This window comes from Homo sapiens, chromosome 4 (assembly GCF_000001405.40).
Source record: "Homo sapiens chromosome 4, GRCh38.p14 Primary Assembly".
NCBI classification, from domain to species: domain Eukaryota; kingdom Metazoa; phylum Chordata; class Mammalia; order Primates; family Hominidae; genus Homo; species Homo sapiens.
In genome coordinates, this window is record NC_000004.12 from 137184613 (window position 1) to 137208829 (window position 24217).

The 24217-nt window shown below is 34.5% G+C and overlaps 2 long non-coding RNA genes across 2 annotated transcripts in view; one reads left to right on the forward strand and one right to left on the reverse strand.

The window, feature by feature from the left end:
- Nucleotides 1-24217, reverse strand: part of LINC02511 (long intergenic non-protein coding RNA 2511) — a 416898-nt gene that overhangs the window by 388711 nt on the left and 3970 nt on the right. The gene's annotated exons all lie outside the window — the stretch shown is intronic.
- Nucleotides 9144-15336, forward strand: LINC02510 (long intergenic non-protein coding RNA 2510). The gene is made up of 2 exons (NR_134640.1): nt 9144-9557; nt 12594-15336. It is a non-coding gene; the product is annotated as a long intergenic non-protein coding RNA 2510 (long non-coding RNA).

The following is a 24217-nucleotide window of genomic DNA, read 5'->3' on the forward strand; positions in this document are numbered from 1 at the left end:
ATAATTAAATCAAGCGAACATATCCATCACCTTACTTACCTATCATTTTTTACAGTGAGACATTTGAAATTTACTCTCTTAGTTATAATACATTATTATTAATTATAGTACTTTGTTGTGAATTAGTCTCAAAACCTATTAATATTTCTCCTCCCAGTATGAACTTTGTACCCGTTAATCAACAACTCCCCATTCCCTTCCTCCCTCCCACCCCCTCAGCCTTTGGTAACCACCATTCTACTCTCTACTTCTATCAGATCAACCTTTTTAGGTATAAGTGAGATAATGTAGTATTTGTCTTTCTGTGCCTGGATTAATTCACTTAGTATAATGTCTCCCATATTCATCCATGTTGTGAAAATGATGGGATTTCCCACTTTTTAAGGCTGAATGTGTATAACACATTTTCTTTGTCCATTTATCCATTGATAAACCTTTACATGGATTCCATATCTTGGCTATTGTGACTAATGCTGCAATAAATACAGAAGTCCAGATATGTCTTCAAAATAATGATTTCAGTTCCATTGTATATATACCCAGAAATGGGATTATTTGATCACATGGCAGTTCTATTTTTAGCTTTTTGAGGAAACTCTATACTGTTTTCCATAATTGCTATATTAATTTATTTTCCTACCAACAATGTGTAAAAGTTCTCTTTTATCTGAACCCTGTCCAAAACTTGTTAATTTTTTTTCTTTTTGATAAAAGCCATTCTAGCTAGCGGATATGAGGTGACATCTCATTGTGGGGTTTTTTTGCATTTCCTTGATGATTAGTGATACTGAGCATTTTTTAATCAACCTATTGGCTATTTTTACTCTTCTTCTGAGAAACATCTGTTCAGGTCCTTTGTCCATTTTTTTCATCGGGTTTATTTTCTTGCTACTGGGTTAAGTTCCTTATATATTTTGGATATTAACATCTTACCAGATGTATGGTTTACAAATATTTGCTCTCATTCTGTGGGTTGTCTTTTCACTTTGTTAATTATTTTCTTTGCTATGAAAAAGCTTTTCAGTTTAGTGCAATGTCATTTGTTTATTTTTGCTGTAGTTGCCTGTGCTTTTGGGGTCATATCCAAAAAGCCATTTTCCAAATCAATGTCATGGAGATTTTCCCCTATAATTTTTTTCTAATATTTTTACTGTTTCAAGTTTCATATTTTAATGTTTAACATACTTGGGGGTTTTTTGCTGATTTTTTAATTTTTTAAATGTTTTTTTTAATTTCCATAGGTTTTTGGAGAACTGGTGGTATTTGGTTACATGAGTAAGTTCTTTAGTGGTGATTTGTGAGATTTGGTGCACCTGTCACCCGAGCAGTATACACTGAACGTGTGTTTAATCTACTTTAAATTGACTTTTGTGTATGGTGTAAATTAAAGGCCTACTTTAATTGTTCTGCATATGAATATACAGTATTACCAACACCATTTAGTGAAAAGCTGTCCTTCCTTTATTGTGTATTCTTGATATCTTCTTCAAAAATGCATTGAGTACAAATGTATGGATTTATTTTTGGGTTTTCTAGCCTGTTCCATTAGTCAATATGTCTATTCTATATCCAGTACCATGTTATTTTGATTACAATCATTTCACAATATGCTTTGAAAACCTGGAGTGCAATGCCTTCAGGTATGTTTTTCTTTTTTTCTTTTTCATTTTTTATTATTTTAGAGACAGGATCTGTCTCTATTTCACAGGCTGGAGTGCAGTGGCACGACACTCACTCACTGCAGCCTCAAACTCCTGGGCCCAAGTGATTCTTCTACCCCAGCCTCCCAAATAGCTGGGACTACAGGTGTACACCACCACACCTGACTAGTTTTATTTTGTATTTTTTAGAGGTACAGCCTTACTATGTTTGCCCAGGCTGGTCTCAAACTCCTGGCCTCAAGCAATTCTCAGATCTTGTTCTTTCAAAGCATGAACATTACAGATGTGAACCACCACTCCTGGCCCAGCTTTATTTTACTTGCTCAAGATTGATTTTGCTACTTGGAATCTTTGTGATTCCATACAAATTTAAGTATTTGTTTTCTATTTCTGTGATAAATGACATTGAAATTTTGATTGGGATTGATTGCACTGAATCTGTAGATTGCTTTAGGTAGGACAGACATTTTCACAATGTTAATTATTTCAATCCATGAACACATGATATCTTTCCATTTATTTGTGTTTTCTTCCATTTATTTTATCAGTGTTTTAATGTCTTCAATATACAGGTCTTCTACCTTTTGGCTTAAATTTGTGCCTAAGTATTTAAATTTTTTGGTTATTATCATAAATGGGATTGTTTTCTTAATTTCCTGTTTAGACAATCTGCTATTAGTACAATTCAACTGACCTTTGAACTACTCAGGGATTAGGAGTGCCAACCCTCCATGCAGTCAACAATCCATGTAGGTAATCTATACTTTTATTGAAAAAAATTCACATGTAAATGCCCCCTCACAGTTCAAACCCATGTTATTCAAGGATCACCTTAAAAAGGAAAAAGTAATAAATAGCATCCAAGAAATAGGGGATCCAATAAAAGGCAAAGGAAATTTGTACAATGGTGCTGAATGCTCCAGGAGGACAGACAACCAGTTCTGTGTTGGAGAGAAGGCTCCACAAAAAGGTCTCTAGGAATAAAACAGAAATGATAAGCTAAAAAAATTTCTTAAAAATCACTACTGATTTTTATATGTTGATTTTGTTTCATGCAACTTTACAGGATTCACTTACCAACTCCTGTTTTTTGGTGGAGTCTTTAGGGCTTTTTTATAGACAAGATTATGTTGTTCACAAACAGAGACTTTTTGACTTCTTCCTTTCTTATTAGGATGCTTTTTGTTTCTTACTGTTGCCAAATTCTCTGGCTAGTAATTCAAGTGGTATGTTGAAAAGAAATGGTAAAAGTAGGGGGCATTAAATTTTGTCAAATACTTTTTCTGCATGTATTGAAATGATCAAATAATTTTGTGCTTCATTTTGTTAATGTGATGTATTCACACTCATTAATTTGTGTACGTTAAAATATTCTTGCATTTCAGGGATAAACCCCACTTGATCATGGTGAATGAATCTCTTAATGTAGTCTTGAATTCTGCTTGCTATTATTTTATTGAGTATTTGCGCATGTATGGTTATTAGGGATAATGGCACTTTTCTTGCAGTAGCTCTCTGGCTTTTTTTTTTTTTTTTTTTAATCAGGGTAATGCTAGCCTTGTAAGATAAACTTGGAAATATGAGAGGAAGTTATTTTTTATTTTCTTCTTCCTCTTCGAAATAGTAACACTGAAACAGTTAAAAACATGAAACAACACCATAAATGGCACATTTCTACCTTGTGGAAATACTTTTAGTACATATTAAATAAAAACTTTCAAAGATAACCAAAAGCAGAGAGATCGTTGTAAACCATTCCATGTACTCATCACCCAGTCTCAATTACTGACATTTTGCCAGACTTGTGTCATTGTTTAATAACCATTCCAGTTTTCCTTTGTGTGTGTATACTGTTTTAAAGCAAATAATAAAAATTACGCTATACTACCCATAAATATTACTAAGCATTTTAACCCCATAAGAACTTTAAAAATATCCACCACAGTATTATTGCACTTCATACAGCTAACTAAATTTGTCATCAATATTGAAATTTCACCAGTTGCGACAAAAATATACTTTGTTTTTTTTTTCAAAATAACATCCAGCAAATATCCACACATTGCATGTGTAATTAGGTTTAAGTCTTTTTTATTCTATAACAACCTTCCTTCCTTCTCTTTGCTTTTATTCCCTTCCATGCCATTGTTTTTTTGTTTGGTTTGGTTTTTCAAAATTTATGTTATCTGTTCCATAAAATGTCCCATATTCTGATATTTGAATGACTGATTCCTCATGGGTTTGTGTACTTGTACCCCTATGTTTCTTGTAAAGTGGTATTAGTTCAGATTTATGTTCAATTTTTGTAAGCAAGGACATTTTATGGATACTTTTTATTTTATTACATTACGGAGCATTTAATGTCTACTTATCCCACTTTTAGAGATGCTAATTATAACCAGTGGATTCAGGGGCTGTCAGACTGATCTATCCTTTACAAATCTTTTCCACACTCTTTCAATTAATGGTTTTAGTATTCACTGATGATAACTTATTATGTAACTAAGAATTGCAAAATAGAATATCATTCCCGTCATTCTTTTACATTTATTAGCCATATTATTTTTAATAAGGAAACATTATTCTACATCAAGTATTCTGTGAGACTAAAATATAACATGTACAATGAGTTTGTTTGCTACGGCTGCCATAACAAATTACCACACACTTGGTGACTTAAACAACAGAATTTTTTTTTTTTTTTTTAAGTTCTGGAGGCTCAAGTCCAAGACAAGATGTCAGCAGGATTGGTTTATTCAAAGGCCTCTTGCCTTGGCTGTAGATGGTCATCTTCTCACTGTGTCTTTACATGGCTGTACCTCTGGTGTCTCTCTTTTCTTATCAGCATATCAGTTATATTGGATAAGATCCCATCTTTATGACCTCTTTTATCTTAATTATCTCTTTAAAGGCCCTATATCAATATAATAGTTACATTCTGAGTTACTGAGGGTTAAAAATTCAACATAAATTTTAGAGAAACACAAAGCAATCCAAAATTTATGGAAAAGGCAGAATAAATGTTTTCTTTTATCCTTTTAATTAATCACTTTCAAAATAATAACATTACCTAGAAACACTCACTAATAACCAGTGCCAGTTCATCATTTTTGTGTCAATAAAAAAATGATTTTTTTATGTATATATGGTGGGTTAAAATTTATTATAGTAATTATTAATCTTTATGTTGTCATTGTTATTTCATTTTAGGCTAGCAGGAATAAAGTAAAATGTAGCATTTCTTTTTGTTGTAACTTGACTTTTCTTTGCACATTTTTGCATAGGATATTTATATTTTACTTTTTAACTTATAGACTACCAATAAGAAATATTACAGTTTTATCTATGGATAATATAAAAATATATATTCTGGTTTGCCAAATATTTTTATTTTCATTTTCTATGCAAATGTCTCTTTATGTTCTATATTGTCAAATGTATCTATCTGTATTAGTCCATTTTCACACTGCTATGAAGACATACTTGAGACTGGGTAATTTATAAAGAAAACAGGTTTAATTGACTCACACTTCCACTCACAGGGGAGGCCAAAGGAAACTTAAAATCATGAGGAGAGGGGAGGAAGTCACGTCCTACATGGTGGCAGGCAAGAGAGAGCAAGAGCAGGGAAAACTGCCTTATACAACCATCAGATCCCATGAGAACGCACTCACTATCACTCACTATCACAAGTACAACATGGGGGAAACCACCCCCATGATCCAATCACCTCCCACATAGTTCCTCCCTTGACATGTGGGGATTATGTGGATTACAATTTGAGATGAGAATTGGGTAGGGACATAGCCAAACCATATCATTCTACCCCTGGCCCCTCCCAAATCTCACATCCTCACATTTGAAAACACAATCATACCTTCCCAACAGTCCCCCAAAGTCTTAACTCATTTCAGCATTAATCCAAAAGTCCACAGTCCAAAGTCTCATCTGAGACAAGGCAAGTGCCTTCTGCCTATGAGCTGATAAAATAAAAAACAAATTAGTTCCTTCCAAGATACAATGGGGGTACAGCATTGGGTTAATACACCCATTCCAAATAGGAAAAATTGGCCAAAACCAAGGGGCTACAGGCCCCATGCAAGTCCAAAATCCACGGGGGCAGTTATTAAATCTTAAAGCTCCAAAATGATCTCCTTTGACTCCATGTCTCACACCCAGGGCATGCTGATGCAGGGGTGGGCTCCCATGGCCTTGGGCAGCTCCTTCATATGCTGGTTTTATGTGTTTATGGCTTTTCCAGGTGCATGGTGCAAGCTGTTGGTGGATCTACCATTTGGGGGACTGGAGGATGGTGGCCCTCTTTTCACTGCTCCACTAGGCAGTACCACAGTGGGGACTCTGTGTGGGGGCTCCAACCCCACATTTCCCTTCCACACTGCCCTAGCAGAGGTTCACAATGAGGGCACTGCATCTGTAGCAGATTTCTGCCTGGATATCCAGGCATTTCCATGCATCCTCTGAAATCTAGGCAGAGGTTCCCAAACTTCAATTATTGACTTCTGTGTACCTGTAGGGCCAACACCACATAGAAGCCACCAAGGCTTGGGGCTTGCACCTTCTGAAGCAATGGCCTGAGCTGTACCTTGGCCCCTTTTAGCTATAGCTGGAGCTGAAGTAGCTGGGACACAGGGCACCAGGTCTCAAGGCTACACAGAGCAGGAGGGCCATAGGCCTTGTCCATGAAACCATTTTTTCCTTATAGGCCTCTAGGCCTGTGATGGGAGGGGCTGCCACCAAATTTCTGACATGCCCTGGAGACATTTTCCCTATTGTCATAGTGATTAACATTCAGCTCCCTGTTCCTTATGCAAATTTTTGCAGCCTGCTTGAATTTTTCCTCAGAAAATGGGTTTTTCTTTTCTATCGCATTGTCAGGCTGTAAATTTTCCAAACTTGTATGCTCTACTTCCCTTTTAAATATAAATTCAAATTTCAGATCACTGCTCTCAAGTTCAAAGGTCCACAGATCTCTAGGGCAGGGGCAAAATAATGCCAGTCTCTTTGCTAAAGCATAGCAAGAGTCATCTTTGCTGCAGTTCCCAACAAGTTCTTCTTCACCATCTGAGACCACCTCAGCCTGGACTTCATTGTCCTCATCATTGTCAGCATTTTAGTCGAAACCATTCAACAAGTCTCTAGGAAGTTCCACACTTTCCCACATCTTCCTGTCTGCCTCTGAGCCCTCCAAACTGTTCCAACCTCTGCTTGTTACCCAGTTCCAAAGTTGCTTCCACATTTTCAAGTATCTTTATAGCAATACCCCACTCTCCACGGTACCAATTTACTACACTAGTTCATTTTCACATTGCTATAAATCTGAGACTGAGTAATTTATAAAGAAAAGAGGCTTAACTGACTCACAGTTCTACATGGCTGGGGAAGCCAAAGGAAACTTACAATCATGGCAAAAGGGGAAGAAGTCACATCTTACATGCTGGCATGCAAGAGAGAGCCAGAGCCTTATAAAACCATTAGATCTCTTGAGAACTCACTCACTATCATGAGAACAGCTTGGGGAAACCACCCCCATGATCCAATCACTTCCCACCTATTCTCTCCCTCAAGGCATGGGGATTAAAACTGGAGATGAGATTTGAATGGGGACACAGAGCCAAACCATATCACCATCTTTTCTTTAATTGCTTCAAATAAATTAAAAGTTATGGTTAGGAAATACTCTCTACCCCTAGGTTGTAAAAAATTTCAATTTAATTATTATTTTAATACTTATATATTTAATTTCAAAACTCTGACCCATTTGGAATTTGTCTTGACAGATTTGGTGAGGATTATACACAATTTTCTCTTTTCCATATGATGAATTATTGCTTTAAACATTATTAATTAGTAAAGGCTCCATCATATCACTTAATAATAGCACCAATTAAATACTAACACCTGGAGGTCTGGAGGTGGCTGAGACCTATTCTATCTGATGTGATATATTTTGCTGTGAATCTGAAAACTATATATACATATATCATTTGTCTTATATTTAGGATATAGAGGCCTGGAAACCGAGAGATGGATTTAAAAGTACTTCCTCTCAACTGTACTTCAAATGGCCCTTCAGATTCATTTTTCTCCTGTTTAATAATGTCAGCTCTGTTAGTTTAGAGATCTACTTCCCAACAGAATAATGTTTCCACCCAGGGACACAGTGGTTGCATTTAGTGGTAAGTCAGGATTGTCATCCTAGTTTTTTGTACTTTCTGAGTCTCTGAGCCAATAGAGAAGTTACTGTACTGGCTTGAGTGATCAGCTGTTATTATTAAGAAGAATGTGAGGTGGAGAGGGGGCAGGAGCAGTAGCTCAAGCCTAAAATCCCAGCAAAAGATCACTGGAGGCCAGGAGTTCGAGACCAGCCTAGATGACATAGAGACCTCATTTCTCCAAAAAAAATTAATTAGGCATGATGATGCACACTTGGAAGGCTGAGGTGGAAGAATCACTTGAGTCCCAGATGTTGAGGCTGTAGTGAACTGGGATTGCTCCCCTACACTCCAGCTTGGGTGACAGAGCAAGGCAGAAAGAAAAGAAAAGAAAAGGAAAGAGGAGAAAAGAGGAGAAGAGAAGAGAGAAAAGAAAAGAAAGAAAATAAAAGGAAAAAAGAAAAGAAAAAGAACGAGGGGGTTCCTGTTACATATAACGGCAAAGGAGGAGAGTGGATGGAGTCTAGAAAATTGTTTAGATTACCATTTGGTACTTTATGTCCAGTGGTAAAAGTTAGTGGAAGACTATGTCAACTAAATACAAACAGGAGAACTAAAGCTCATCATGTGTCAAAATAAGGGTTTTGAGTCACCCTGGCAAGCACAGACCCTTCAGTAGGTATTTTGACTGAGAACAATGGAAAATATAACAGCTAGTGGCTGCTGGAAGTTGTAAGTAACAACAATGATAAGATTAGAAGAACTACTGAAATGTCCAAATCTGAGGCACTATTCAAGAGTCATTCATATTGGATTCTATGTAAAGGCACACACTCACAGCACAAAACTAGTGCTAGAACAAATATGAAATATCACCCCAAAAGTTCTTCAGTGCAGTCTCCTAAGCTATGATTTCATAACTAACAAGGACTGTGAAAATGATACAAATTTTCTTTGTTCTATAGTCTGTCTATGCCATGATGGTGGTCATGAAAATCAAATTTATCAGCTCCCAATTTATCAGCTAAATTGACAGGATGTCAATTTAGATTTGTACCTGAGCCACAGGAATAGTGATCATCACCAAAAGATGAAAGAACTCTTTCGTAGGGGAGAAAGATAACCCATCCCTGTTTATGGGTAAGAGGGTTGCATTATATCAGGAACATATTACTGTTGCAATTCCTGCTGCTTTATTAGGTTTGTTTGTGGAGTTTCCTAGCGGGAGAATTAGGAAAGATATCATCAAAAGGTTCCTTCTGAAAACATTCCAGTTCCCTTTAAGTATGCCTTTGGTGTTGTGGATTCTAGAATGCTAATCTTTGTCTCTCCATGATTCCCACATAGCCTGGGTCCTGGATAGGATTTAGATTCCACAGATACTCTCACAGTGCCATTTGGCTGTAGAAAAGAACTAAATGTGAAGAAAAGCAGGATATAAAACATTTATTTGCTGGCATGTATAGAAATATAACTGGTGTCATTCTGCTGTCAGCATGTCAGAAGATTTTAGACTTTTCTGCAGTGGTTATGAAAGCTTTAACCATGTTACAGGGGCAGACTGATACTGGAGTTTGAAAGCTACTCTTGGAGACATGGGCTGCCTACTATTTTGGCCTTCCAACAATTTTATAAGAAACTCAATAGATAACGATAAATACCTTCAAGCTTAAAATCGCGATTATGATTTCTGCTGTGCGCAATGAAACTCTGAGTGAAACAGGTAACATATTCTGCTTATCAGATTTACACCACCTTTGCTAAAACAAATTTCTTGCAAAGATATGATACCAAGTTCTGTAATTAAACAAGGAAAGAGAAAAACTATCAAATTATAATTTTAAAAAAGAATTAAATAACTTCTTAACATCTCTAGTAGAGAACTGCAATATGTAATTGATTTCAGAAAATATAGTTTAAATGAAAGCAAACCATTTTTTATGATTCTCTACTTCATACACAATGCAAAGTATCAGGATTCTACCATGTTGGTTACATTTCTGTTTTTCCTGTTTTAAATTCAAGAATTATAGAAGAGAACAAAATCTTAAAAGGTCATTCAAATAAAATAGTCCAGAGAATATTTCTAGATCTATACTTCATCGTTATAAAATTTTTTAAAGTAAAAAAAGTTTAAAAAGAGACAATTATTTTATTAATATGATGAAAAAGTGAGACTTAACATACAAAACTTTAGTATTACAGTTCTTTGTGATTGTACTGAATTCATATATATGTATATATATGTGCTATGTTATTTACCTTTAATGTGAGTTGATTAATAATAAAGACTTTTAAGTGCTGTGAAGAATAAATTAACAAAAAGGACTATTCTGAAGATGAATGATGTGACCTAGGTACCCAGCTAAACAAGTTATGTAAACACTGCATAGAAGGGAGGCATATAAATCTATCATACATATTTTATACTGGACAACACAACCATCTGGGAGAATGCAAAGATTTATTGTCCAAGTGCTGTTGTTGTATGTAGTTCTCTGTCTTTTTCACATCGCAGTAGTTTTGTCTGAAATGTTGTCTTAGCCATAGTTTCTCATACTTTATCATTAACAAATGTCTAAGCTATGATTTAAGTCATCTAAATTAGCCATTTATTACATTATTCACTCATTGTGGACAATTTTTTATTACTTTGAAATCTATGGTAATAAAAATCTATACAATGATTTTAAGCCCTAAGTATTTCACTTATAGTCTTTCAATAGTCTACTCAATTAGCTTGTTTAAATATTATTCTTAGTGTTTTAGTTGTGTCAGAATTGACAAATAAATTGTAAAAATTGATGCTCCTGATAAAATGGTACTTTACCATGCCTTATGATTTCACTTTCTATAAATGCTTCAAGAAAAATGTGCTAAGTACTATTGCAAAAAACTCTTTTGTCACTTTTTTTTTGATGCATGATTAGAGAGGGAAAGATAAGTATAAGAAGGTTTTCTAGATCTGAATCATTGATGGGTAAATTGGAAAACATCACTTCATATGTCACGTGAGGAATGACTCAACCAGAGCTCAGTAATTTATTGGGTTACTCTATCCCAAATAGGACTAGACTTTGTGGAACAAAGATGAAAAAAAGATAATTCCTAATTTCAAGGATTTATGATCTGAAACTCATATATCCAGGTCTCACAAAAGAATAACTAGTCAAGTATTATAAGAGATGCAGAGAATTACACACTTGAGTATGATTTTATTTTTCTGTGATGTAGTGGAAATCACAGACTTCAGATAAACTTTAAATGATCTTGAATAATGAATAGGTTTTTGGAACAAAGAAGATACTTCAGGTCGAAGAATCATGAGCATGAACAAAAGAAATTATCTAGAAAAAAATTTGGTCATAAGTGTCTAATATAGTAGTACCCTGAATAATGAATGTGGCTATTCATTCATTATAAAATCAAATGTGTGGTTTATGTTTTTTCTGAATTAAACACAAAAATTCAAAAGTTACGAAAAGCTTGCCGTGAAATGCAAACTTCTTTCTCTTGTATTCCAGGTCAGAGAATAAATCACAAGGCTTTTATATTGCTTTTCACATTGTTCTATGTATATGCAAGTATATACATTATTCCTCTTTTTTTTTTTTTTTTTTTTTTGAGACAGAGTCTCGCTCTGTAGCCCAGGCTGGAGTGCAGTGGTGTGATCCTGGCTCACTGCAAGCTCCGCCTCCTGGGTTCACACCATTCTCCTGCCTCAGCCTCCCGAGTAGCTGGGACTGCAGGCGCCCGCCACCACGCCCGGCTAGTTATTTTTTGTATTTTTTTAGTAGAGACGAGGTTTCACCTTGTTAGCCAGGATGGTCTCGTACTCCTGACCTCATGATCCATCCATCTGGGCCTCCCAAAGTGCTGGGATTACAGGTGTGAGCCACCGCGCCAGGCCTCCTCTTTTAATTTTTACACAAATAGTAGCAAAAGACATATTCTCTATTTTTACTTTAACACAATACCTCTCTGAGATTGTCCTCATCATTTGTATTCTTCTTAAATCTGTGAAAATGAAAGTTGAATTGCCTAGTTTCAGCAAAATAATAGATTACAGTCTGATTACAAGAATCAGTAGAATGCATTGTTGGCCAGAAACTGGAAGCATGATGTATAGACTACTGTCAAATACTGGTGGTGAAAGGAAAAGGCAAAATGAAATATTTGCATAATGAGCTATTTTAGAAGATAGCAAACTATAGTGGAACAAAATTACTTTGGTGGTACAAAAGTTTCTATTAAATTTCAAAATCCTATATTTATCAAGTCTAAAACTTTGGGAAAATTCTCTTCAGTTACTACATTTGTATAATGAAGGAAAATAATAACTAATTCACAGGATCCTTGTAATGTTTAAATGAACCTTTAGTTCCTGGCCCATAATACTTATTTTTATGGCATTTTATACTTATTTAGTAATTATCCATAATTTAATAACAAAAGCTTACAGCCTTCAATGTTACTAATGTCTCTTAATTACATATGCACTATAACTGTATTTAGATTTTATTGTTTTGCATACTTACTAATTTAATGTTTGAGTTCTATGAAGTACAATTACAGTGATCAGTAGTTTATTTAGGATAATTCTAGCTGCTGAAACAAGGAAACCCCAAAATAACAGTGGCATCACATAATAGTTTGTCACTTATTACATTGCCTAATGCAGGTGTTCTCGGTTAGTGGGTAGATCTCTCCCATGCAGTGACTCTGAAACTTAGTTTTCTAACATCTTTTGACTCCCCAGTCCTCCAGGATTTTGAAGTCCTCTGCATCCGGGCAGTGGAACAGAAGTGTGGAGAAGATTCATCATCTGCTTCTTAAATGCCCTAGTCAGAAAGGGGTACTCATCATTTCTGTTCATATTTTATACGGCTACAAATAGATGTGAGAAGAGCAAGAAAACATAGTCCTGGCAAGGCAGTTGCCTTCTGATGACAACTCTGCACTCTGGAGGTAGACAAATTTTGGTCAATAGCTGGCAGTTTTAGCCATATTAGTCCAGTACTCACCTTCACAAATGAGGAAACTTAAGACTCGGCCATTGTTGATCTAACACATACTTACTGTTTTTTATTGTGTTTTCTTGATCTAATGGTATTTTGAAACACAATGGGTAGGACTAAAATATGGACCATTTGAAAGGAGGAAATGTTAGATTATTATACTAGGCAAATAATGTTGCCAATATATTTGCACAATTATGGGACATAGACTTTCATTTTCCTGTTTAAAATAAGTATGTAGTATTAAAGAATTAACATAAAATATGGCATTATTAAGAAGATCTATGATTTTGGTGCCTGGTCCTTATTTAGGAGTTTAGCACCCTGGTTACATATATCATAATAATGAAAAAGCATTATTCTGTTTTATGCTGCCTGCAGAAAAAAAAAGGATGAAAAATAGATACTGTCTGTGCAGTATGAGCCACAGTATAAATGTGCAGAATATGATCTAAGTGGAGGATAATAAAAATTTTGAAAGCAGTATTTGCAAAACTTGTTCCAAACTTCCTCATTAATCAGCACAAATATTTTTCTAAGTATACATTGGAAGGCCTTTGCACTTAACTCAATTATTGAAGTAGTAGGAAAATTATGCTCTACTGTGTATAAAATATTTCTAAGCTATTCAAAGAAGACACTACAAAGATATTTAAAGAAGATACTATAATATAGAAAAACACTTCATGCAGATGTATCAATTATTAGTATCTCATCACTGTATGGCGTTCTTAACTAAGTTGAAATTGTTTTCAAATACTGGTTGAATAAGTGAAGAAGGAAAATTGTATTGTGTTAACAGAAATATGTGTTCATTCACCCACCCACTGAACACCTATTTTGTGCCAGACGTTGTTCTGGACACTAGGGATCCAGCAGGGAATAAAATACATGAGTTTCCCACTTGCTTATTTTTCCCTTACTTTACAAACCTGGAACTCTTTAAACAACAAACTGAAAAACACCACACAAAATTAGGCAGCTATCTTTGAAGAGTGAATTTGCTTGGAATTGCCTGCTTTGAGCATCATAAGTTTGATGAGGTATGAAGCAAAAATACAGATGTACAACATTAATTAAAATAACCAGCAATTCCACCAGAGGATTCCAAAAGGGATTTAAAGACTCACCCTGCCAGAACAGAGACGGAGCCAGAAAAGGGTGATGAAGCAGATTTACAAGACCGGCTCTCAGAAAATTTGCTTGGACATGCAGAACCATGCTTTCAAGTACTATTGTTACCAACGCGAATCTGCAGCGAAAGTGATCCTTGCCTCTCTGGAGGACAGAATTTGGCTGAGGGGCAGAAGTATGTTTAAGGCAGAGGGAGAGACTGAGGCAAGTTTTAGAGCAAAAGTGAGAGTTTATTAAAAAGTTTTAGAGCCTGAGTGAAAGGAAGCAAAGCACACTTGGAAGAGGGTCAAGTGGGTTCCTTGAGAGATCCAAGTGCCCCGTCCAACCTTTGGCTTGGGATTTTAATACATTGGCTTGGTTCCGGGATTTGAGTTTCTCCTCCCTTGATTTCTCCCTTGCGGCAGGCTGTCCACAGGCACAGTGGCCCGCCAGCACTTGGGAAGGGGTGCATACACAGTGTGTTTACTGAAGTTGTGTGCATGCTCACTTGAGGTGTTTTTCCCCTCATTAGACAAAAATTCCCAGAGGAAGGTTATATACCAGTTAAACTTTGCCATTTTGCCTCTTAGTGCATGCTTGAGCCCACTAGCCCAATCCCTGAGATCTTATCGGGAAGCTGCTGCTCCTCCACAGCTCCAGGAGTTTCCTATTTATTGGGAGACTGTCGGTCCCTAGTACCAGCTGTGACCAATTATAATTTCAGAGACACAGTTTAACAACCACCTGACCATTACCTGATGGTCCCCTGAAGTTCTCTGGGGTTGGGAGAGGCTCTCCTGCCTGGCTCATGTCTGCCTAACTACCTACTCTAACATTATGACTTGGAGAAATACTTATTGGGGACTTTTAAAAAACTGCAGAGTATCATAAGACTTTTGGCTATGAGGATTTACCAGTTGCAGAATAAAGAATTTTAAAATAATTTGTCTTTGAAGATATTACCTTCTGATATATTGCAAGTAAGGTATTGAGAAGTCAATAGGGTTTGGTGCCAGGTTTCTGATGGAGAATTTGAAGATACGTGTTTACATTTCTATAAAGTAAATTTGACTGTCTGAGTCACATATATCTTGGTCATAATTCACAATTATTAGGAAATTTGAAAATAATTTTTTTAACAAAAGCAAATTTGAGAAAGTCTATTTTTAAAGTTGCTAAAATAAGGGGCTCAGTATATTTTTAGTAATTGGAAGACTGGTTGATTGAGAAATACAAATTTTTCAGTAAAAATGTATTTTCTTTCCAAATAAAATAAAAATTTATGAAATATAATTTCTAAAAATTTGACAATTAAGTATAAATATTCTAACTGGGTATTGGCTTATAATTAATAAATGTAATTTAAATATGTTTTATGAGTTAAAAGCTTATAAATCTTTTTATTCATATATTATGCTTTGCTTATACATTGTATTGCTTACTGGTAAACTATAAGTTTATGTGCCTATGTGGACAATAAACACAAATTAGGTTATATAATGATATTTTATACATATATAGAAAAATACCCATTTGTTTGATTTCTTGGTCCATTTTAAAAAGAACTTCAAAATTTACATTTTGGTTTCTATTTTCCCCATCAACATCAGCATTCTGCATTACTTGAAAACATTACTATTAAACAAAAAAGAAAATATTATGAAAGGAATACCTGTGGCAATTTAGTTGGTAGTTTATTCTCTTTCTATTTAAACTGTGGCCCACAAATTGGCAGCATCAGTATCACCTGGGAGCATATTAAATCAGCAGCTGCATTTAACAAGATCCCCAGGTGATTGTATGACCATTAACATTTGAGAGGCCCCTGTCTGGTGTATGCAACAACTTTTTTTCTGCTTTTTCTTTGCTAGCAAACCCGTACTTTGTACTTTGTTCACATTTTGGGTGGTCATGTTAATTATGATCCCTTCCCAGCCCCAGGGGACAAAGGTTGATAAGACTAACCCAAGCATGATAATTTAATTTCCCTTTCCTGTGACTGTTTAAGCAGGGGCATGTGTCACAACCCTAAATAAAACACCATAGGGAATATTTTGAAGACAGAATAACGTGTTGTTACTCTGAAAAAGGTACACCAAACAAACAAGAGCATGGATCCTCTTTTGCTCTGGATATTTTTCTTTTGCAAGTAATATCTAACATGGCACAGCCTTCTTCGAACTATGAAGAGAAGGCAAGGGGAAAGCAGAGAAGCTGATCTAGGGTCTTTAAGGCCAAGCTAGAGTTCTTTCATTTGTTCCACGAGTCCCTCTGCTGCAAGCGTTCTTGTTAATGATATAAAGAACCCTTTCTTGTTGACCTCTTTCAGTTGCCTGTCTGTTACTTATCCCAACACAGATATCAATTTATAATTATCACTGGTATCAAATAGCTAGATTAGCCACTTTATTTGCCTTTAAATCACCACCTTCTTAATCCACAGATGGGATAATTTGTGTAGATTTGTGTTAGTGAGCTACAGATGGATGAGATATTCCCAAAAGAATGGCAGCCTGTACAGCAAATTTAATTGTTGGACTATGATTGAAATAAACGTATACTCAAATTTCCCTATGTGGATTTTCATGCTATTTAAAGATTAAATGTATTGGTTTTCTATATCCTATTATGTGAGTTTGGAAGAAACAATAAAACAGTAACCAAATTTGGATATTAGTTTTGACTGAATACATGTTTACAGGTTTTAGTGACTTCCTTAAATAGCTTATAACAATAATTGTGGCATTTGGCTTCTTATAAAAATCATTCTGGGGAGCTCAATTTAAGAGCAAAATTGATGCTTACATTCTACTTATATTGTGCATTGCTAAATAAGCTTTTTCATTAGATATGTGTTTTCATTGATATATATTTTAATTACATATAAGTTTTCATTAGATGTATGATCATTAGATATACAGAATTTAAATTTTACTGGACAGTATTGATCTAATATATTGTACAAGGCATTTAAGATATATACTTTATTTGGAAAATATTCATGAATTTTTAGCTCACTAAGGTCATTGCATTTTCACATTAGAGTTTATATGTGCATCTTAATTGTTTGGTTAAAATAATTATTATTTATAAAAGTATGGTCCGGGCACGGTGGCTCACGCCTGTAATGCCACCACTTTGGGAGGCTGAGGTTGGCGGATCACCTGAGGTCGATAGTTTGAGACCAGCCTGACCAACACAGAGAAACCCTGTCTCTACTAAAAATACAAAAATTATCCGGGCACGGTGGTACATGCCTGTAATCCCAGCTACTCAGGAGGCTGAGGCAGGAAAATCATTTGAACCCAGGAGGCGGAGGTTGCGGTGAGCCAAGATGGCACCATTGCCCTCTAGCCTGGGCAACAAGAGTGAAACTCCATCTCAAATATAAAAAAAAAAAAAAGTATGACAGATGGTGGTTTTCCAGAGTTTGCCACAGGATTCTTTCTGGCCCCAGTGTGTTAGATGTGTTTTCAGTAATATATTTATTATGAATTGATGTTATAATAGCCATATATGTATGTATATATTAAACACATATTTCTCCTAAAATTATTTTAGCTTACAGTCTTATCTATAGTCATGATTCTCTACCCAGGTTACATATTCAAATTACTTAGGTTATTTTACAAAGTACTAATGTTCTTCCCAAGCCAATTAAATTAGAATCTCTGGGGAATGGACCTGGACACTGATATTTTTCAAAAGTTTCTGTTCCATTTAAATGGGCAACCATTTTAGAAGCATCCTAAACCATCTTTTAGGATAACAGATCTAAAGGATGCAATAAAATAGGTCTGACTGACTTAGTTCATTATTAGCCAGTTATTTGCTTCTCCCTGCACCCAGCATATCAGTGGCTTGATTTTTTATAGACACAATCTGAGACTGTTTTTATTCATAAAATATATTTTTGTAATGCATTTTAAAGATTATATAAAGCAGCATTAAGATCATTAACATTAGAGATTAAAACAAGTTATTGACCTCTCAATTATTAGTGTCCTATTACCATAAAATGCATGTTTTTAAAATAAAAGTTATTAAATTTTGATTTAAAACTAGTGATTTCAAATTAAATTAGAAATTGACTCCACATTATGTTTACTGTATTATTGGGAACAAATTCAATTTAGTAAAAAATGCAGTTACAGTATATTGATAATTTTTATAAACATCTCAAATTTTATTTGGGAGTCTACGCTACTTGAATTGCCTCTATAACTGACCATCATATTAATGCTAACATCTCACATAAGAAATAAAATTAGATAAATACCATTGTATTTGTCCATTCTCATACTGCTATAAGGACATACCTGAGACTGGGTAATTTGTAAAGGAAAGAGGTTTAATTGAGTCACAGTTCTGCATGGCTAGGGAGGCCTCAGGAAACTTATAATCATGGTGGAAGGGAAAGCAAACACATCCTTCTTCACATGGTGGCAGGAGAGAGAAGTGCAGAGTAAAGTGGAGAAATACCCCTTATCAAACCATCAGCTCTCATGAGAACTCACCCACCATCACAACAGCATGGGGGGACTGTCCCCATGATCTAATCACCTCCCATGGTGTCTCTCCCATAAAACATGGGAATTAGAATTCAAGATGAGATTCGGGTGAGGACACAGATCCAGATCATATCAAGCATATAATTCTGTGGGCATTTAAATTTAAATTAACTAAAATAAAGTTTAAAACATAGTTCCTTAGTTGCATTAGCCACATTCAAGAGTTCAATAGCCACAGATGGCTAGCAGCTACCTTTGGACATAACAGATATAAAATATTTTCATTGTCTCAGAAATTCAACTGAACTGTATTGATCTAACATATTGTATAAGGCCTTTAAGGCAGTACTCTTATTGGAGAAAGCTTAGTAAATGTTTAGCACACTGGGCTATCACATTTTTACTTCAGCATTTACATACAAATGATTTCTTTGTTTTAAATAATTACTATTTATAAAAGTGTGGCAGATGGTAATTTCCAAAATTTGCCACAGGATTATTTCTGGCCACAAATGCTGTTTTAGAACTTTGCCACTTCTCTTCATGAGATACAGTTTATTGTCTCTTCCTTGGAACCTCAGTGTGCTTGTGACTATTCAAATCAATAGACTACAAAAGAAGTGATGCTCTGTGATTCAGGAGGCCAGGTCATGAGGAGGACATGCCTTCGGTTTGACCCTCTCCTTTTTGGTATGTTTGCCCTGGAAACCAGCCACTTACTGTAAGAAGCCCAGAATACATGCAGTGGCCACATGTAGGTTTCAGTCAACAGTCAGCCAGAAAAGTGAGTGAGACGTCAGCTGATTCCAGTCCTTAGCATTCATGTCCTCTGGTGGATAGATGTTTTATTCCACTACATTTTGTGATTCCATAAATGAATTAAATGTACTTAAACCTTAAAATGAAACTGTATTCTATGCTTGTGTTTATCTAACATTTGGATAATAGTAATTTGGCTGGTCAATAAAGAGAAGCTGGGCTTAAAGTCAGACAAAATCAGATTTGAATTCTGGATTCTGTGATTCCTGGCCAAATAAAAAAAAGATAAATATTTCTCTTTCAAAGTTGTGATGAGATTACTGTTAAATATAAAACATCTAACCTAGTACCTGGCACATAGTCAATAATTAATAACTGGTGTGTTTGTCACTATAATGTTTTGGATGACCAGAAACATTATAGGAATAGTAGTAATTATGAACATTTACTTGAGTACTTATGTATCGTGTACTAAGTTTGATGTGTTGTCTCAAGTAGTAATGAATTTATTTAATTCATTAAATCATTTTATACACACATAAATCATGTTGCATAAACTCATCCTTTTTTATTACCAAAAACTGTACATATTTAATATATGTAATTTTTTGGTTGGAACAAATACATCTTTGAAACCCTCACCACCATCCTGTCCTTCACCTCTTAAAATTTCCTCCTATCTCTCTCCCTCCTTTTTGTGGTAAGAACACTTGACTTAAGATTTATCCTCTTAACACATTATTTCAAGTATGGAATACAAGATTGATAACTATAAGAACTATGTTTCGCAGGAGGTCTCTAGAACTTATTCATCTTGCATAACTGAAACTTTATACCCACTGAACAAACTACTATTGTCTCTGCTTCTCTGAGTTTAACTATTTCATACCTGTTATATAAGTGAGATCAGGCAGTATTTGTCCTTGCGTGCCTGGATAATTTGACTAATGCCCTCCAGGTTCATCCATATTATTGCATATGGCAGAATTCCCTTTTTTTAAGGCGGAATAATATCCCATTTTATTTATATATCACATTTTTAATCCATTCACCTGTTAATAGATATTAAGGTTGTTTTTATATCTTAGCTATTGTGCATAATACCACAGCGGACATGGGAGTGCAGATATCTCTTTAAAAACCCGATTTCAATTCTTTTGGCTATATACCCAGTGGTGGGGATTGCTGGGTCATGTGGTGTTATATTTTTAATTTTCTGAGGAACCTCCATACTTTTTGTCCATAGGGGATGCACCATTTTATATTCCCATCAACAGTATAAAAGTATTCCAATTTCTCTACATTTATCAACACTTTTTATATTTTGCCATTTTTATAATAGTAATCCTAAGAGGTGCGAGGTAATATTACACTACAGTTTTGATTTGCATTTCCCTGATTAGTGATGTTACACATCTTTTATTATACCTGTTGGTCATTTGTATGTATTCTTTATAGAAATATCTATTCACATACTTTGCTCATTTTTTAAAAAGCTTATTTGTTTTTACTTACTATTGGGTTGTAGGAGTTCTTTTATATTTTGGATATTAACTCATTATCAGGTACTATTTACAAATATTTTCTCCCACTCAATAGGTTCCCTTTTCACTCTGTTGATTGTTTTCTTTGCTATGCAGAAGCTTTTTATTTTGGTGTAGTCTCATTTGTCTAATTTTGGTTTTATTGCCCATGCTTTTGGTGTCATATCAAAAAAAATCATGTTCTAAACCAATATCACAATTTTTTTCTATTTCTCTCCAAAACCTTTATAGTTTCATGTCTTATATTTAAGTCTTTAATCTATTTTGAGCTTATTTTTTGTGTATGGCAAAACACAAAGCACCAATATAGTTATTTTGCATGTGGATATTTAAATTTCTCAATGTCACTTGTTGAAGAGACTATGCTTTTCTCATTGTTTATTCCTGGAACTCACTGAAGATCAATCGACACTATAAGTGTAAGTTTGTTTTTGGGCTTTTTATTGTTTCCCTTGGTCTATGTGTCTGGTGTTCTTTATTTTGCCAGTAATATACTGTTTTAACTACTATAGTTTTATAATATGTTTTGAAATCAGAGTGAGGCCTCCAGCTTTGTACTTTTTTCTCAATATTGCTTTGTTTATCTAGGGTCTTTTGTGATTCCATGTGAATTTCAGGATTGCTTATTTCTATTTCTGTAAAAATGTCACTGAGATTTTGATGTGAATAGCACTGAATCTATAAATGACTTTGATTAGTAAGGACATTTTAACATTAAGTCTTCCAAGCCATGAACACTGGATGACTTTCCATTTATTTGTATCTTCTTTAATATCTTTCATCAATTTCTTTTAGGTTTCAGTGTGCAAAAGACTCATACAATCAATCAATTTAATATAGAGACATGTCTTTCTTCCAAATAATGTGTCAGCTATTGTTAATAAAAATAAAAATTGTGAGAATACTCTTTAAATATAAGTGAAAGATCAATATATAGAATACTAATAGGAAATCTCTAATTGCTGTGTTTATCTTTTTAAACAGGCGAGGAATTCTAGTTTAAAGAGTAATTTTTAGTTTCTTTTGTAACATTCAAGGGTAATTATTACTAAATAATAGAATTTACATAATTTCAATGTGGTATAGCCAGTGCCTGCCTTATACACAAAAAACAAGAACAAAAAGCATCACATAACCTGTAAATATTTAGGTTTAAAATATTAAACCCAAACAAAAAAAGTTGCTTGAGTTTCCATGTGCTATTTATATTAATATGGACTTTATTGATAAAGACCAAAATATTACACTAATGATTCATTATTCCCTGGTTTCATGTGTAAAAGCACAGGCTATGAAAACTAATTGTATGTGCACACATGCATTTTCTAGAAAAAAAAATGTAACCATCTGGAGTAACTTTAGCAGCAGAAGCCAATATTCGTGCTGTTATTTTCATTATAGGCCTTTCAATGAAACTCTCTCCATAAAAGCAGGCAGTCAAGAAAAGAAACTAGTGGCCATTCAAGGACATGGCTCAAAGACTATTCTATTGGTGTGTGTGTGTAGCTTTTCTTAAAGCTGTGATAATTTTTTCAAAACGTGGTTTGTCCAAGAGCAACATCTATTCAGACCATAAAATGGAGAGAAAAAAACTCCATGGTTCATTTAAACCACCTTCTTACTGTCAGAGAATTTTTAGCTGAAGAAAGGCATTGCCTTTATTGCCAGCTTATGTTGAATGAATAATTCAGAATGAAAGCAGTTGCAGCATAATGATAAAATTATATAAATCAAAGAGTAGCTGCTCAAGCCAAATATCTGCAGGAAAAAAAATAACAGTCCCTGCTCTTCTGTTTACTTAGATGGTTATTTTGTTTGTGCAGATGTTCCAAAAACTATCATTACATGAATTTCTTTGTGATATTTATAACCTACTTGAAATACTTGCTCTGAGAAATTTTACTTCTCTATTCAACATATCCTTAAGCCTGATTCCTTTCTTGTTGTCCAGAAGAATCTATACATTAAATGACAGGCAAAGTTCAAGGCAATTGCCCACTTGAGACCAGAGTGGAGAGTGAGAAGAAAGAAGGAAATTGCTAATTACCAGATGCCTATTTTGTCCTAGGCACTGTACCAGGTGTTTTACCATTTTATTTTCTTTTACTTCTCATGATAGCTTTCTGAATTATAATAATTATTCTTGCTTTCAGACAAAATTACCATAATATCATGATTTATTGTTTAATGTTACACAACACAACTATATAGTATTGGAATTACATTTGAGTGGCCTGTTTCACCCAAACCTCCGGTTCTTTTGAATATATAAGAAAGCAATCCAAGCATTTGAAGTCATCATTAAAGCAAAAATGGCTTTAAAATAAAATGTTTTATAAAACCAGAAATTTAAAAGTTCTCAGTCCCAGATAAAAACAGGATGGCCAGTACCTGGATGATGTAAGTAAACGTTATTCCAAAAGTCTTAATTTTGGGAGGTACCTTTCAACAACATGATGTTTTCCCTTGCTAAGGCAGAGTCATATTTTAATACAAGGATTTCTAGAGCTATTTGCAAGGAAATCTTAGCCTGGAGCTCACTGCTTGGAAATGGCCTCTCCTCTGATTAGATTCATGCTAAAATTCAACACATGTTAAATCGACTTAAGAATTAAAAGTCATATCTGCACGATTGCCTGAATAGCTTATTGATTCAAAATTTTTTTTTAATAGTGAGTTCAGCAAAATGAGAAGGACGACAAAAACCAGTCATTTCAGCCAAAATGGTTTATTTCCTGGCTGCATGCAGTCACAAATAGATGAGAAGGCTATCTCCATCAACATAAGGCTGGCACGTTGTCACCGGCTATGTGCATTACCTATTTCCTTGCTGAGGAAGAAATCAATGCTGCCACTTTTGGCCCAGCATTGCTTGAAATATTCATAGAAATGTATTCTAGAGGAAGCCTAATTTGATGTATACATTTTTATATTCTAATTCCTTATATAAAAATTCTTACAGTATTTCTAGATAAAATAATACTTAGTAATAAAAATATAAGTTTATTATATTAAAACTATTGGTTTTAAAAGTATGCCAATTCCTATCCTGTGGTTTTCTTTTTATTATTCTGTAATAAGGCAAATTACTACATAAAATTATCAAAACATTCAAGTATGGGGGAGCATTAGATTTTAATAGGGTCAATAGTCTACATTAATGTATTAAACAATAAATTCTCTTGGAAGTATTTCTTTTATATATTCATTCAACTTTGGCTATTCTAAGTAAGGTGTATTTCTACCTTCATAGCAAACAGACCCTGTGACTGACCATTAAAATCTTTCAATTCTTCTCCTAATACTTTAATTTTTTGGACCTACAGTTATTATTTAAAAGTTCTATAACCTCATTTACATGCAAATATACACTTGGTTTGCTACGAGTTAAAATAAAAATACTTATTGGGGCTGGGAAATTATTTTTTCATAATAAAC